Source organism: Homo sapiens, chromosome 2, assembly GCF_000001405.40.
Source record: "Homo sapiens chromosome 2, GRCh38.p14 Primary Assembly".
In the NCBI taxonomy this organism is placed as follows: Eukaryota; Metazoa; Chordata; class Mammalia; order Primates; family Hominidae; genus Homo; species Homo sapiens.
Window position 1 is genome coordinate 177313524 of NC_000002.12, and position 17161 is coordinate 177330684.

At 41.8% G+C, this 17161-nt stretch overlaps 1 long non-coding RNA gene and 1 other non-coding gene across 2 annotated transcripts in view; both read right to left on the minus strand.

The window, feature by feature from the left end:
* Nucleotides 1-17161, minus strand: part of LOC100130691 (Putative uncharacterized protein FLJ44553) — a 109184-nt gene that overhangs the window by 30016 nt on the left and 62007 nt on the right. The window contains exon 6 of the long non-coding RNA NR_026966.1: nt 9716-9873. This is a non-coding gene — a long non-coding RNA (Putative uncharacterized protein FLJ44553). The remainder of the gene's footprint in view (nt 1-9715; nt 9874-17161) is intronic.
* On the minus strand, nt 283-359 carry MIR6512 (microRNA 6512). The gene has a single exon (NR_106767.1). It is a non-coding gene; the product is annotated as a microRNA 6512 (primary transcript).

Below are 17161 nucleotides of genomic sequence, written 5' to 3' on the forward strand. Positions count from 1 at the left end.
AGACCTCCTGGGCTCAAGGATCCTCCCACCTCAGTGTCCCAAATGTTTGGGACTTCAGGCATGCACCAACATGCCTGGCTGCCTATTAGTTTTCACTGGTAGTTGTTGATGTACGTGCAACATTAAATGTGGTTTTTAATGACCAGACTTTCTGTGCCTCTGCATTGCCACTAACTTCATCTGTGAGAAATGACTGTGATGCCAGCAGTGGACTTTATAGCTTCCTGACCTCTAGATTGTAGCTGTGTGGACTGAACTGCGAGCCCAACAGCATCCCTCTTAATGCTCCTACCATTAGAAGGGCTGGAAGAAGGCATCTCCCTCAGCCTTCTTCCAGCTCTTCTAATGGTAAGAGCATATAATTTTTAAGCATATAATTCTTAGCATTCAGTACCTAGAGAAGTGTCTGCACTGAACCCCAACTGATATATCAGTTAATAACACAACTGATAGGTTATCTAGTAGGTTTATGGTTGGTTGTAAGAATCTTTGGGAAAGAAAATTACCATTGGCAATCCTACCACCTAGGATCATCATTATCATGGGAAAGTTCTGCTTTAGAGGCAACCTAAATCTATTTTGAGGTCCTGAAAATGCATTTACTTCACAGGATATGCTGGTTTCTGCTGCCATTCAAAAATTATTCTTAAGGCATTCTTTGTTCTCTTTTCACTAGCTAAATAATGCCGTGCTTTTAACTTTTCTTTATGTGTTCAGCAGCTTTTCCCAGTTGTGGATATTTGAAAAAAGTATTCATATAAATACTGCCTGTTCTGGTAGGATTAGCTGTCCCTTTCTTTTGGTTATATTCCCAAGTTCATTCTTGCTTATCTAACCAAAGCCCTACATTGCTGACTCAAGTTTAGTTTATGGTCCAAGCCCAGTATCATGTTACTATTAGCCAAGATTTCCCATGGGTTGAGGCAGACTTGTAGAAGATTGAAAAATAAAACTTACTGGCCATAAGTAAGACTTTTTATCTGGCCTTCCAGTACAGAACATTCTCTAATATAGCAGCTTATAAACAATGAGAATCAGAAGCCTAAAAAAATTAGTTAATAGCCAAACAGTGACTGAATCATGGAATTGTACAGTTAGAATGGACCTTAGAAGCAGTCTATATAAGCCAGGTATAGTGGCTCATGCCTGTAATCTCAGCACTTTGGGAGGCCAAGGCAGGAGGATCTCTTGAGCCCTGGAGTTTGAGACCAGCCTGGCCAAAATGGTGAGACCCCATCTCTACTAATTTTTTTAAAAAGTCTATATACATACCAGAACACAGAGCTCAGATATGTATGCAGGATTCCAGTCCGTGCTGAATACTCTTCCAGTATGAGTACTCTTCCTACTCCTCAAGGTGTGTGGCCCTCAAAGCAGCAGCATCAGCACTTACCTGGGAGCTTGTTAGAAAGCCAGAATCTCAGGCTCCAACACCCACTGAAGCAGAATTTGCATGTAACACCCCCACCCCTTCTTGATTTGTATGCATGTTGAAATTTGTGGAGTTAGAGACAAAAGCACCACAGGTGCATGTCTTACTATTTAAAGTCTTGCCTAATTATATAACATAGAAACCTGATCCCTTCTGGACAAGGCCTGTATTATTACAGGTCCTGGTCTAATAGAGTATTTGAATAGCTGGGTTAAAGAAAAAGAAAACTCTCTTTAATAATCTTTGGAAAAAGAGGACATTTATTTGAGCTATGCTAGTTTTTAATGTACCTATTCAGATTTTAATCCATTAGAAAAATTAATAGCCTATTTGGTAGTAGCATGTCCTGAAAAAATAAGCTGAATAAATTGAAAGTATTTAAATGGATATTTAAACTCTGCAGCCATCGGTGATTTAGTTTTCAATTACATAAAGGTAATTACACTAGAATCCACCTCATTCACCCTGCCGTGAGAAAATGCTGGAGTGTTGTAATAAGCCAATGCTTTCAGGCAGTGACTGGTCTCCACTCCTTTTTGGCTGGGACCTGAATTCATTTGCTTTAAGCAGTTTAGGGTGTATGCTAGGAATATAAATTATAGAAACACCCTTTGTGACCCTTTTTACAAATGAAGTTGCATCACTATGAAGGGTGTATGTGAGGCTATAGGCCCAGCCTCTCAGATTGGGAATAGCTGACACTGCATGCAGATTTGGCCTGCTAGGTAAAGGCGGGACGGTGGTTTAGGACAGTGCCCCAGCTGGGCTCTTCCTAGACCAGTGGTTCTTAAAGTGTGCCTGCAGAGGAGGCTTCGGGGGTGCTGGTAATGTTCTGTTTCTTGATCTGGGTGCTGGTTACATGGGTGTGTTCAGTTTAGGAAAAGCCACTGAGCTGTTCACTTACAATAAATACACCTTTCTATATGTATATTTCAATAAAAAGTGAAAAGTGCAGAAGGTTAGAGTGCATTAGAGCAGATTTCTGTCCTCCTGTCAATCACAGGTAGGTGGTCTGTGTCTCCTACTTTGAGAAACACTGCCCAGAGCAATCTAAAAGGCTACGATCAGGGAAAATTGATGAACACACTTCATTAACCCAGCATGTTCATTGAGATGGACAGGTAAAACCAAACAAATAATGCCTAATGCAGGGTATACTTGTTCTAGGTGTTACATAAATACATTCTTCTGGTTTTCCTAACATCTTTGAGAGGACAATATTAACTACATTTACAGATGAGGCAAATGGCACACATAGAAGAGGCTGAGCTGAGAGTCCATGACAGGTCTGTAGGACCAAAGTCTATTTTATTTTCACCAGCGCCACTACTGGGCAGCTTGAAGGAGCAAGTAAGTCACAAGGACAGATTGAGGGATTGAGAATGGACAGAGAAGAAACCTAGGCCTTTTTGCCAACATAGTAGATAGTCTTGAAGAACAGACTGCAAATAGGCAACTCTGGTCTTTTCAGAATCTCTGGCAAGCAGATGGCAGTTTCTCAGAGGCAATACCCCATGGCCAAACCCATAAGACCTCCAAGCATCTGCAGAGTCCTGAAATCCAAGTACAATCATGGGCAACACAACAACATTTCAGTTCAACTACGGACCTCTTATATGATGGTGGTTTCATGAGATTTGAATACTGTATTTTTACTGCACCTTTTCTATGTTAAGATATATTTAGATACACACATACTTACCATTGTATTACAATTACTTACAGTGTTCAGTACAGCAACATACTGTACAGGTTTGTAGCCTGGGAGCAATAGGCTATACCACATAGCCTAGGTGTGTAGTAGGCTATACCATCTAGGTTTGTGTAATCACACTCTATGATGGTTCTACAATGAAGAAATTACCTAATGACACATTTTTCAGAACAAATCCCTGTCATTAAGCAATGCATGACTGCATTCTGGACTATGACCCAAATATGACTGGACATCAGAATCACCTTGGGAAGGTTTCAAACATACAGATTTACAGGCTCCACACCAGAGATCTAAATTTAGTAGGTTTGGAATGAGGCCTGAAAAGTTCTTTACAAACCACCCCAGGTAATTCTGATGACAAGCTTGGCTTGGGAAACACTACCCCAGCCACACTGACTCCATGAAAGAGTCAGACCTGGATTGACCTTGGTAGTAGTTCATCACAAGCCAAATGGAGGGAAGTAAAGGGCCCGTTATAAGATGCCCTCAAACTGAATAAATGTAACCAGATATCAAGACAAAAAACAAAGCAGAATAAAAGAAAACTTGCTTTCATAAGATGGAAACTTGTGACTAGTTTAGGCCTGCAAATAAAAGGCCTGCACTTGTGTCCCATGCATTACGTGTAACTTGTTTTCTTCCCTCCAGCCTGTTCACAAGGAAATCATGGCATCTAAAGTTTGTTTTACTAAAAAGCATTATAAAATAAATCATAAACAATATAGCACTTTGATATCTTAGATCTCAATATGAAATCCTTGGTCTAGGGTGTTTTTAGTTTAGAAGTTTGAGAATTTTGAAGACAGCAAAAATGGACTTTGCAAAATTTAAGGAGACAATATTGCAAAGATAACAAGATCCAAGGACACTCTCTTCCTTCTCCCATCAACCTGAACTGGTTTATTCTAGATTTAAACTATGAACTTTAATAACCTAGACTTCAATTTGACCCTAGTGTTCAGTGGTGAAAGTACATAGGTGATTATGTACAGTCAATAACTACCCTATCTCATCTGTCAAGTAGAATAAATAGCTAAAACTGGTAAGTTGATAAAGTGTTTTTATTTTGGAGAGTTAATAACTTACTCTAAAGTAGATTTTAATTACTAGACCTTGCTAACAACTGACATATGAATTAATTACTTTAAATCACTATCAAGTTCAATCTCCATACAAGTTTCAAGGAGAACTGCACAGCACTCAAACATAAAGGAAATATTAATGACATAAATGATGGAACACAATCAAGTCTATTATTCATTAGTATGAATGAAAACAAAATACAGTGAGCGATAAAGACAGACTAGAACTAATATCATTTGGGTTTACAAAAACCATCTCAAGTCCAAACATGTTCTTGTCCAAAGTCCTTGCCTCATTTCAGGAAACAACCCCATGCCTCACTTGTGAGATTAGAGTACCATGTTTTCTTTCTTTCCACATGTGGAAGTGGGGTAAAGAGATGTTTTGGCCAAAAAATACATTCTAGACCCAAACACTAGAGATATGATCAATCTCCAGGAATTTTATAAAAAGGTAATGTTGTATTTCTGGATAAAAGGGAAAAAATGAGCACAAAAAGGATACATTAGACCACATATCCAGAGATTAAGGAGACCCTCTGTGTATCCTCAGTTTCCCAGCTTATTTAGTTTTGTGTTTCCCGTCTTGGTGAAATACCTTTGAAGGGAAAGCATGCTTTTATCTGCAAATAGAGTTTATTAACTAGCTCTGGGGGCATTAACTAGCTCTGGGGGAACAAACAATTTTGAAAGTAAATTCTACTTTGAACTTTTTGACTTGAATCATTGTAATCTGAGATGTGACCTATAACTTATCCTTTTAGAAAATAAATTATAAATATCACAGAAGAGGTATTTTAGCAACTCATACACCTTCACATCTACAGTCAACTTATTTTTGACAAGGGTGCCAAGATAATCCAGTGAGGAAGAACTAGCCTTCTCAACAAGTGGTTCTGGATAATTGGATATCACATGCAAAAGAATGAAGTTGGATTTTTACCTCACACCCAATATAAAAAATTAACACAAAAAGATCAAAGACCTAAATGTAAGCACTAAAATGATAAAAATCTAGAAAACATAGACATAACTCTTTGTGGCCTTGGATTGTGCAATGGTTTTTTGATATGAGATCAAACACACAAGCAACAAAAGAAAACATACACACTTGACTTCATCAAAACGTAAAACTTCTATTCCTAAAAGGACACCAGCAAGAAACCTACAGAATGGGAGGAAATAGTTGCAAATCACCTATCTAATATGGGATGTGTGTCTAGAATAAACAAAAATTATTCTTAAAACTCAGTAATGAAAAGACAAATAGCCCAAATTAAAAATGGGCCAAGGACCTGAATAGACATCTATATAAAGAAGAGACGATAAGCACATGAAAAGATGCTCAAAATCATTAGCCTTCAAGAAGATTCAAATACAAATCACAGTGAGAAACTACTTCACACACACTAGGATGGCAAGAATCAAAAACACAGATAATAAGTGTTGGTGAGGGTGTGGAAAAATTAGAAACTTCATACATTACTTTTGGGAATGTAAAATGGCACAGTCATTTTGGAGAGCAGTCTGGCAGTTTCTCAAAAGTCTAAGCATAAAGTTATCGTATGATTCAGTAATTCCTTTCTTAGATATATAACCTAAGAGAAATGAAGACATACGTCCATGTAAAAACTTGCATATAAGTATTCATAGCAGCATTATTCAGAATATCTAAAAAGTAGAAATGGCTCATATATCCATCAAGCGATGAATGGATAAATAAAATGTGTTATATTCATACAATGGAATATTATTCAGCAATAAAAATGAAATATTGAGAAGGATGCAACATGAATGAACCTTGAAAACATTATGCAAAGTGAAAGAAGACAGTTACAAAGGACATGATTCCATTTATATGTAATATCCAGTATAGGTAAACCTATAGAGATAGAAAATAGGTTAGTGGTTGCCTAGGGCTGAGGTGGAGGTGTTGAGGGAAAATTGGGAATGGCTGTTAATAGGTACAGTGTTTCTTCTGGGGGTGATTCAAATGTTCTAAAATTGAGTGTAGAGACGATTGCACACATTTTGTGGATACACTAAAAACTACAGAGTTTTACACTTTATTTTAGCTGAAAAATTTTTTTTGAGACAGTCTCACTCTGTCACCCTGGCTGGAGTGCAGTGGCACAATCTTGGCTCACTGCAACCTCTGCCTTCAAAACTCAAGCAATACTCCCACCTCAACCTCCCAAATAGCTGGGATTACAGGTGCGTGCCACCACACCTGGCTAATTTTTGTATTTTTTGTAGAGATGGGGTTTTGCCATGTTGCCCAGTCTGGTCTCAAACTCCTGGGCTCAAGAGATTCACCCCACCTCAACCTCCCAAAGTGCTGGGATTACAGGTGTGAGCCACCATACCCAGCCGAATTTTATGCCTTAAATGAGTAAATTATATGATACATGGATTATATTTTAATACACTTCTTATTTAAAAAAAGTAGAAGAGACATTTACTACATCCACGTAGAAGCATTTAAGATCCAGCACATGATTCTCTCTGCTTTCTCTTTCTCTGCCAAGGAAATCATAGAAGAACACATTGATAAGATGTCAAAAAGATCAAAGCAGCTGAAATATGGAGCCAACACATGGAAGAAAACTGTCCGCAGATTCATCCATACCCATAGCTGACTTTGTGTAAAACAGAAATAAAATTTTGTGTGTTTAAAAAACAAGAAACACCACATTTAAATGTTAGTGTTGAAAGAGAATTGAGATAGTTCATATAGTCCAGAGTTTTTCAACCCCTTAGAATGATTGGCATTTTGAGTTGGATAATTCTCCGTTGTGGAGGGCTGTCCTAGGCATTGCAGGATGTTTAGCAGCATCCCTGGATCCCCAGTTGTGACAACCAAAAACGTCTCCAGACATTATTAAATGTGTACCACATGCCTGTTGAGAACCACGGATCTGGCTAACCTTTCCTAAAGAATGTTCCTTAGAACATCAGTTTTGCCCAATGCTGCAAAAGAAAAAGTTTCCACAGTTTAGTAAGTTTGGAAAACAGGAAATGAAATAAATTCTCCCTCTCCACACTCCTGCCCACATTCTATAAAAGGAGAAGCTCAGGAACAGAAAAGTGAGATGATTGCCTTGTGTCACTCAACCAACAACCTAATCAGAACTCTTGAGTTAGGAAATGGAGGCTTCTCAAGCCTAGATGAATGCTCTTTCCTGACTCTTTGGAAACTGAACCTCCCACCTCTCAAATTGATATCAACCAAATAAGGCTTCAAGATTTGTTGGCAGATTGTAAACTACTACTAGAAGGGTACTAGCATAGACTCTCCCAAGAGGTTATCCCCCATTTCGAGATTCAGATGTAGTAGAGGGCTTGCCAAGGTGCAAATGGATGAGGACTGTGGGTCAAGGCAGATGATCTAACAGCTGCCTCCCCTTCCTTCACTGTGGTTTATGACCAAACATTTTCAGTGTCACCTGATTGAGATCTAGGCTGGGTGTAGTGGCTCACACCTATAATTCCAATACTTTGGGAGGCTGAGTTGGGAGGATCACTTGAGGCCAGAAGTTCAAGACCAGCCTGGGCAACATAATGAGACCCACGTCTCCAAAAAAATTAAAAAAAAAAAGAATAAAAGATCTATTAATGAAGGTATGAAGATACAGTGCAGATCTGTGGGACAAGTCTCAAATCTAGCAGTGGTCAGCCTGAATGTATCAGTAACCATCTGGAACTTTGGAACTTATGAAAAAGTGATAAATAACTGTCAAGATCTAAAGGGATGTACTGAAGATATGTTTGATGTTTACTTAGTTGATGGGACTTATACTCAAGGGTCAGCTGCGTACCTTGAATGTCACAATAGAATAAAAACACTCACAATTCTTTTAGAAAATTCAGCTTAAATATAAACATTAATAAAACAGGAAAACTTACTCTCTAAAATGACATGAAGTGATATCAAAAATTGGGGAAAGAGTTTAGGCTACCAAAACTTTTTTAGAAATCCAAAGAGGATTGTTAATGGATTGTTGTTTTTTTACCATGTTGTAATACAATTTGGACCTATTATGTCAAACAGACTTAGAATAATACTTTTGAAGGGCTATTCTTTACAACAGGTAAATAGTACATTGCAGGAGCCAGGCCTCTCCCTAACGTTTGTGGGGCCAAGGGCAAGAGTACAAACGGAGGCCCATATTCCATGTGTCTAATGATATAAAAGTTATAAGTTGGCTGGGCGTGGTGGCTCATGCCTGTAATCCTAGCACTTTGGGAGGCCGAGATGGGTGGATCACAAGGTCAGGAGATCGAGACCATCCTGGCTAACATGGTGAAACTCCGTCTCTACTAAAAAATACAAAAAATTAGCCAGGCGTGGTAGCAGGCGCTTGTAGTCCCAGCTACTCGGGAGGCTGAGGCAGAAGAATGGCATGAACCCGGGAGGCAGAGCTTGCAGTGAGCTGAGATTGCACCACTGAACTACAGCCTGGGCAACAGAGCGAGACTCCGTCTAAAAAAAAAAAAAAAAAAAAAAGAAAGTTATAAGTCAAGTCAAACTGTTAAATAAAATATGTTCCATTTTCCTACCTTGATAACTCTAACTTCCAAAAGACCTGAAGGTCAGGTTTGAATGTGCAATGCTTGGAATCCTTAGAGTTCTGCACCAGGACAAAGAGGCATGGAGAGAGCTGGACCCCAACCTGAAACGTTCCCCTCTCCTCCCATCCTTGACTCTGAATGAGAAGGCCCTCTCATGCATGCATGTAGATGCCCCAGTTCACGCATCCATACCCTGTGCATGCCTCTGCAAATAGGCTATCCTTGGCTACCTCTCAGGCTGACCACACACACTAGTGGCATGGTTTGCCCTTGGGAGGATGGGTCTGGAAAAGAAGTCTAGGCAGGCCCTGGAAGTGGGCTTGGGGCATTTGAGCAAGGAATCCTGAGGTGGTCCAAGTTATCCAGAGTGTGGTCTAGAAGGGAGCAATGTGGTAATGTGGTTCTGAGTGGACACATCCCCTAGGTGCCACAGTCTCCTCACCCTGTAGTAAGGGGTGCAGCCAGGGAGGGTAAAAGCACGGCCTTCTAAAAGCCTAAAGGCAGTACCAGCAAGAGCCGGTATGTGGAATGTGAGTATTAGCATAAGACATGGAATCCTGGCACACACCTCAGGCCTGCTTCAGCAGGAGGAAGGAGGCTGGATCAAACTTGTCCAGACAGGGAAGATGGATCATGCTCACTCACCCTGGAGGGGTCACAGAAGTTTATCAATTCCTGGCAAAACGGAACAGCCCAATCTGGGAGAGCCTGCCCAGATCTAAGTGCCAGTTTAGTTAATGATTTAAAGGGGCATTTACCTTTTCGCCTTATGGAGAAAGTATCTGGAAGATTCTGGTGTTATTTTTATTGGGGCCACTGAACTTTCTGTTTGTGCTCCTCCTTATGAACCCTGCTCCCTCCTCCTCCACTGTTCTCACAGTGCCAAGGGCCCATCAGTCCTCGCTTGCTTGCCTTCCTCTCAGCCAGTTAACTCCATAAGGATTTCAGCAATAATCCTGATAGGTGCCCTCACGCACTTGGTTCTTCATCCATTCATGTCTTCCAAATCTCCATCCTTCAATGAAGTCCATCATGTACTTTCTGTTTCTGCTCCCAAGCAAAAGATATTGCTGAAAATTAAATTAAAAATGTAAAAATCTGACCCAAGCCAATATCAGCTGACTGGTCCCAGCTGAGCCTTTACTACTCCCAGGTAATTCTCTGATTTTTCAAAATTTCCTTCCTTCCACAGTCCTCACTTTTCCTTTTCTAAATCCTTCCTGTTTCCTTCAAGCCCCAGTCCCACTGTATGCAACTTTCTCCTTTTGCTTAATAGAAGAAATCAAGATTCTCCAATGTGGGTATCCTCTCATTGCTTTTTCTCTACTGAGAAATACTTAAAGATGATATCTCTTTTTCTGTTTCATTTCAGAGAAGGAAGAGTAACTTCTCCTTTCCACAATTTGTTTTCCTTTTGGGTCCTGCATCCTATGGACTCCTATTTCCTGTAAACATTGCACCAGGCATGGCCCCTGCTCTTTTATCCCCACCCTCCCCCCTCAATCTGTCAGCCCCATCCTGGCTCATTTCTATCCCTGTTGAGCCTAGATGCCATTGTCCATCACTTTGAACATTGTTTTCATAAAATCATCCATCATTTCGCCCCTTGATCCTTCTGCCCCATCGTCTCAGAAATCCCAAGTCTTGGATCAACCTACCACCCATTTTCTCAGCTCTTACCATTGGCAGCCCAAGTTATTAAAGAAAATCACACAATTATTTCCCTTCTACCTGGGTTGCCAACCTGCCCCTTTACCCCCATCAACACACACATACCCAGACAAACACACGCACACCCCACCTGACTCTTTTGTCAGTAGAGTGGAAAGCAAATTAACAATTGTGGAGATCGTCTGACACTGAGAGGGACCCAGGCTCTACATTACACAATTTAAATACTAGTGCCCATACCAGTTTTGGTCTCTAACCTGTTAGATTCTCAGGTGATTATAATCCTTATACTGGTCCTTCTCCACTTAATTCTCTTTTATACGTCCCTTGGTAATAACTCTAATCCTATGGAACTCTCAACCCCTACCCTTTTTACTCTTCTCTTCTTTTCTTTATTTCTCCTTTTGCATTCACCAAACCTTGACACATGCCCTATATTCCTCTTTCTCTTCTACTCCAATCCAATCAGTTCTCACATCCTATTGATCTTCCCTCCCAAACATCTCCTAAACCCACCCCCTCCTCTTCATTTTGTCATTTTCTTTTCCCTTTTTAAAAATTTCTATTTTGTAGAGACAGGGTCTCACTATGTTGCCCAAGCTGGTCTTGAACTCCTGGTTTCAAGCAATCCTCCCACCTGGGGCTCCAAAGTCCTGGGATTCAGGCCATTTTGTCATTTTCTTAACTCAGGCCTTCATCATCTCTGCCTGGCCTCATTAAATTGTCTATTAAATGGAACTCCCTGATACTAGCCTCACTTCTCTCCGATTCATCCTCCATAGTCCTCTCAGAGTGATACTGCCTAGAAAAGGGAAGTAGAGGCTGAGTTGGGGGTGAGAGAATGGGAGGAAGGGAGGGTCAAAAGAGAGGAAGACCCAATATCTGGAAACCAAAGAGGAACACTGAGGGGAGAATAGAAATGTCTCCATTTAAACCTCCTTTTATGTCTCCTCATAAAATTGTTGGTCAAATCCACATTACTCACCTCTACTCTGTGGAGTTTATTTGCTTTTGGGGAAACACAATAAAGTACTAAGTCCTGCTATAAGACAGGGCACATGAAGCCAGCACCTGGCTTGCACATTCAATTTATTCTTCAGTCATTCATTCATTTATTATTTAACGATATTTATTGAGTACCTATCAGGTGTCAGATACGTGCTAGTGCTGGAGAGTGAACACTGATCGAGACAGATATTCTTGTCTTAAAAGCATTAATAGTCAAGTGGGAAAACAAACAAAATAGTTAGAATATGATAAGTGCTATGATATGAGAAGGTTATGGGTGTGCATAGCAGGGACAAATCAAAGTCAGAGGTAGGAGGGAGGTCAAGGAGGACTTAGGGAAGAGGTGGTGTTTAACTGGAGATCAGAGGAATGTGCAGGAATTAGTGAGGTGTAGGGAAAAGTTGAAGAGAATTTTCTAGGAATGTGAGACAGTCCAGAGGCAACAGAGTACAGTGAACCCATGGAACGGACAGAAGAGAGGAAACTGTGGCAAATGAGGTGGGAAAGGTCATCTGTAAACAGATCTTAACTTGTAAATCAAGTTTACATGTTTAGACTTTATCCTAAAGGCAATGGGGAAGCTACAGATGGCTTTAAGCATCTGTAAGTGATGCTTACACAGTGAAAGACCTGTTCAGATTTGTGATTTAGAAAGAACACATGACAGGATAATATGTGAAGTATTAATGGAATGTATTCTCTCCACTCATTTCTCTACTTGGGCTCTGGGCTGCCCATCTGCTCCTTGCCTGCCACCAACATACACATACATAGACAAACATGCACACACCCCACCTCACTCTTTCGCCAGGAGAGTGGAAAGCAAATTAATGATTGTAGAGATTGTCTGCTGCTGAGAGAAATCTAGACTCTACATTGCACAATTTAAATACAAAGGGCTCTGCACTTTAACTCAGAAATGAAACAATTAAAATGAAACCAACTCATACAAATGTGTAAATGTGAATTGGTTTTTCACCTCTATGCTGTGAGGGGAGAAGAAATGATCTGATCAGAAAGCAGATGTGCAGGGCAAAAGGAAGGAATGTTCCTGGATTACTTCGTGGCATTATGGGGGACATGGCTGCCCCTTTCTGAGATGAAGCTACATGGGACCTGCATGTGCACCCAGACAGCCCATCCCCACCCTTCAAAGCTAGCAGGATCTGGTACTTTAGACAGCACACTGGGGCCTGCCTGTGCTGAGAGCATAGGCAACAATGGTATTAGCGGCTCAGGCTAGCTTTAGAGTGACCCCAGAAATGACTAGATGGACAGCTCCCCCAGCCCCACCCGCTACTCACACATGGACCTCCATCTTCTTCCCCACTTCCCTTGGGTAGCCAGCCCCAAGAGGCCCAAGAGTAAGAGGCAAGAACAGGGGAAGGAAGGTTTGAAACTGAATTCTGAACTGAAGTATTTATGGAATCTCAGTTGACAAATCACTGAATTCATTTAAGATAATCTAGATGAAGTTGTCCACCAGGAGGAAGGCTGGAGGTTCAGATTCCAAAATCAAATTTACTCCAGGAAAAAACATCCCATGACTGCACACCTGAGGGTTTGTGGACTCTTGCATCTGTGAGACTCCTTGCTCATTACACTCACATGGCTACTGCATGGTGAATGGTTTGAGATGAAGATTGGAAACAGGGGTTTAGGTGAGACCTGATGAGAGTAGAGGGGAAAGAAGACAAGAAAAAAGGTAGGAGAGGTATTCAGGTGGCAGGATCAAGAGTTCTTGGTGATGCAATTGGACATGAGGTATGATGATGAGAACAGTGAGGAATGATACACAAGTGACTAGCTGCAGCAATGAGTCCATGGCAGTGCTTGCTACCTCCAGGGGGAACTCAGGAGGAGATACACAGATTTGAAGAGAAAATGAGTTCAGTTTGAGTTTAAGATGCCTGTGGAACCTATAGGGTCTGAAGCTCAAGAGAAGGGTTGGAGATGGAGAGAGCTATCTGGGAGCAGGTAGATAGTGCCATAGATACTCAGGAAAGAGAAAGTATCAAAAAGGAGGATATGTTAAATGCTGCCATCAGGTCAAATAAGGAGAGAACTGAAAAGTGCCCCTTGAATTTAGCTACATGGAGATCATGGGTTATTTTGGAGAGAGGAATTTTGGAGAGTGAGTGGGAGGTGAGGAAGTTAAAACAGTGAGTGGACAACTTTTCCAAAAAGTTTAACTGGCAAGAGAAGAGAGGACGGTAGATGGAAGAGGATGTGGCTTTTTTAGTCTGAGAAGGGAGGAGCCAGTGGAGAGGAAGGGGTTGAATATAAAGGTAGGAGTATGAAGGAATAACTGAGAGAGTGAGGTCAATGGGAAGTCAGAGAGAGATGGGACCCAGAGCATCAGGCCAAGAGATTGGCCTTGGATGGAGGTAGGGGGAGTTTTTCTGTTATAATAAGAGGCAAGGTCAAAAAAATGTATAAAGATGCAAGTAAGTTTATAGGTTGTGGGTGGGTGTGGTGGCTCATGCCTGTAATGCCAGCACTTTGGGAGGCCAAGGCAGGTGGATTGCTTGAGCTCAGGAGTTTGAGACCAGCCTGGACAACATGGGAAATCCCATCTCTACAAAAAATTAGCCAGGTGTGGTGGCATGCGCCTGTAGTCCCAGCTACTCAGGAGGCTGAGGTGGGAGGATCACCTGAACCCAGGAGGTTGAGGCTGCAGTTAGCCATGATCATGCCACTGCACTCCAGCCTGGGCGACAGAGTGAGACCCTGTCTCAAAAAAAAAAAAAAAAAGTGTATAGGTTGTTATGGAAAACTGAGACTGCTCACATCTCATAACATCCACACCCACCCAACTCTGATATGTGGGGGAAAAAAAATCACCAATTGAGAATGAGAAGGTAGAGAGGCCAACATAGGGAGGTGCAGGAAGAGGCAAATCCTTGAAATAGCCCCTCTGGAGGCTGAGAAAACAAGCAGGCCGGGGAATAGAGTAGGACTGCAGGCAGCAGTGAGGTCCCACTTGAGGTTGCTGAGCATAAATTTAAGGTAGCCCCAATCTGTGTGACAGGGTGATTTTTTTCCTACAGTGCCCAACAGCCTAGGTAAAGGAATGGCCAAGACAGACAGCTGGATTCAGGGTATACACTCTAAAATTTGTCAGGCAGATAAACCAGAAGAATAATGAAGTAATGGAGTTGAGAACACCGGTCAGAGGCCAATGTTATGAGTCATGGAGTCCTTCCTCAGTAGATAAGGAATAGGGGACAGCAAGCTTATTATAGATAAAGAGAAAGGAGAAAGCAGAAAGACTGCAGATCTTAATAAGTTTGGAAGATAAACGTAGTGAAAATAACCAAATGAAAAGAATTGGAGGACTTAAAAGTCAAGGGTTCAGAGGTGCTGTGGTTTGTTGAAGACATGGCCTAGGGGTGGCCATGGGATTGAGTGATTGAAGCACAATGGAGAAGGTAATTGGAGATGGAATCAAGAAACTGAGAAGTCAGGTATGTTTCACAGAAATACCTAGATAGCTAAAGAGGGGGAGGGATAGCATTAGGAGAAATACCTAATGTAAATGACGAATTATTGGGTGCAGCACACCAACATGGCACATGTATACGTATGTAACAAACCTGCACGTTGTGCACATGTACCCTAGAACTTAAAGTATAATAATAATAAACAATGGTCATTGAAGAGGCTGGGTGTATCAGGGAGTTTGCTGACGATGGAATGAGATTCCCAACGTCATAGAGGAAAAGTTTTAGAGGAAAGGGAATGTAAGAGATATAAGAAAAAAAGTTTTTCGTAATCTCACATACTCAACCAATACAACACTTCCAGTCACCAAAATGTCTGGAGGTTTTCCTCTACCTACAACCAATTCTTCAGTGGACATAATTATCCTATAATTTAACACAATTTTCCTATAATCACTATCTACGTGGAGATAGCATTAGATCCCACAGGCAGAAGGCTCAGTCTCCCAAGATTGCTTCCACTTCAGATGCCAATTCCAAGTAGTAGGTTGTTACCTATACTTCTGACGACTGGTCATAAATTGGGGGTTCCTATGAGGATTCTGCTCCTCGGGTTCAATTAGTTTGTTAGAGCAGCTCACAGAACTCAGGGAAACACCGCTTACATTACCCATTCATCACAAAGCATGTGATGTGGTTTGGATCTGTGTCCCCACCCAAATCTCTCATCGAATTGTAATCCTCAGTGTTGGAGGTGGGGCCTGGTGGGAGGTGATTGGATCATGGGGGCGGATTTCCTCCCTGGTGCTGCTCTTGTGACAGTGAGTGAGTGCTTTCAAGATCTGGTTGTTTAAAAGTGTGTGGCATCTCCCCACTCTCTCTCTTCCTTCTGCTCTGGCTATGTAAGATGTGTGTGTTTCTTCTTCTCCTTCCACCATAATTGTAAGTTTCCTGAGGCCTCTTCAGAAGCAGAAGCTGCTGTGCTTTCTGAACAGCCTGCTGAACTCTGAGCCGATTAAACCTCTTTTCTTTATAAATTACCCAATCTTAGGTATTTATAGCAGCGAGAAGGGACTAATACAGGATGTTACAAAGGATATAGATGAATAGCCAGATGGAAGAGATGCACAGGGCGAGGGATGGGGGAAGAGGCATGAAACTTCCCTGCCCTTTATAGACATTCCACCCTCCAGGGACCTCTACATGTTCAGCAACCTGGAAGCTCTCAGAACTCTGTCCTTTGGGTTTTTATGGAGGCTTTATTAGGTAGGCATGATTAATTACATCATTGGCCATTGGTAATCAACTCATCTTTCAGCCCCTCTACCCTCTCTAGAAGTTGGAAGGTAAGGCTGAAAGTCCCAACCCTCTAATCATGCCTTGGTCTTTCCGGTGATCAGCACCCCTCTTGAAGCTATCTAGGGCTCCCCAGCCACCAATGTCTTATTAGCATACCAAAGGCACTCTTATCACTCTGGAGAGTCCAAGGGTTTTAGGAGCTGTGTGCCAGGAACCAGGGGAAGAGACCAGATATATATTTCTTTTCCTTTTTTTTTTTTTGAGTCACCCTGTTACCCAGGCTGTAGTGCAGTGACGCAATCTGAGCTCACTGCAACCTCTGCCCCCTGGGTTCAAGTGATTCTCCTGCCTCAGCCTCCCGAGTAGCTGGGATTACAGGCTCCTGGCACCACGCCCAGCTAATTTTCGTATTTTTAGTAGAGACAGGGTTTTACCATCTTGGCCAGGCAGGTCTTGAACTCCTGACCTTGTGATCCACCTGCCTTGGCCTCCCAAAGTGCTAGAATTACATGCATGAGCCACTGCGCCTGGCCCAAAAATATATTTCTTGTCACAATACCACAGGGTGGAATGGGAAACTGAGTCTAGTATGAGGATGAGAGTTCATAAAAGGATAACTCATTGAAAGAACTCCCTCTAGGACACACATTAAGGATACTGAGGGTCTGAGGGATGGTGGGTTTAGTGGGCTGCACAGATGCAGAATTAGTGGGAGTGGAAGAACATTTAGGCCTCTTAGCCTTCAGCTTTGTCCTGGGTGTGTCATACTTCCAAGGCTCCTGAGTCTCTGGAAGGAGTGAGCTGAGTATTGATTCCAGGGATAGGTTCAGAGCTGAGGGTTGCTGGTGTGTAGCACTGGACTGGTGTGGTCTTTGAGATGAATGCAGGCCTGTCCCAGCTCCTTCACTCCCTCATATGCCATACTGTCTCAGTACCT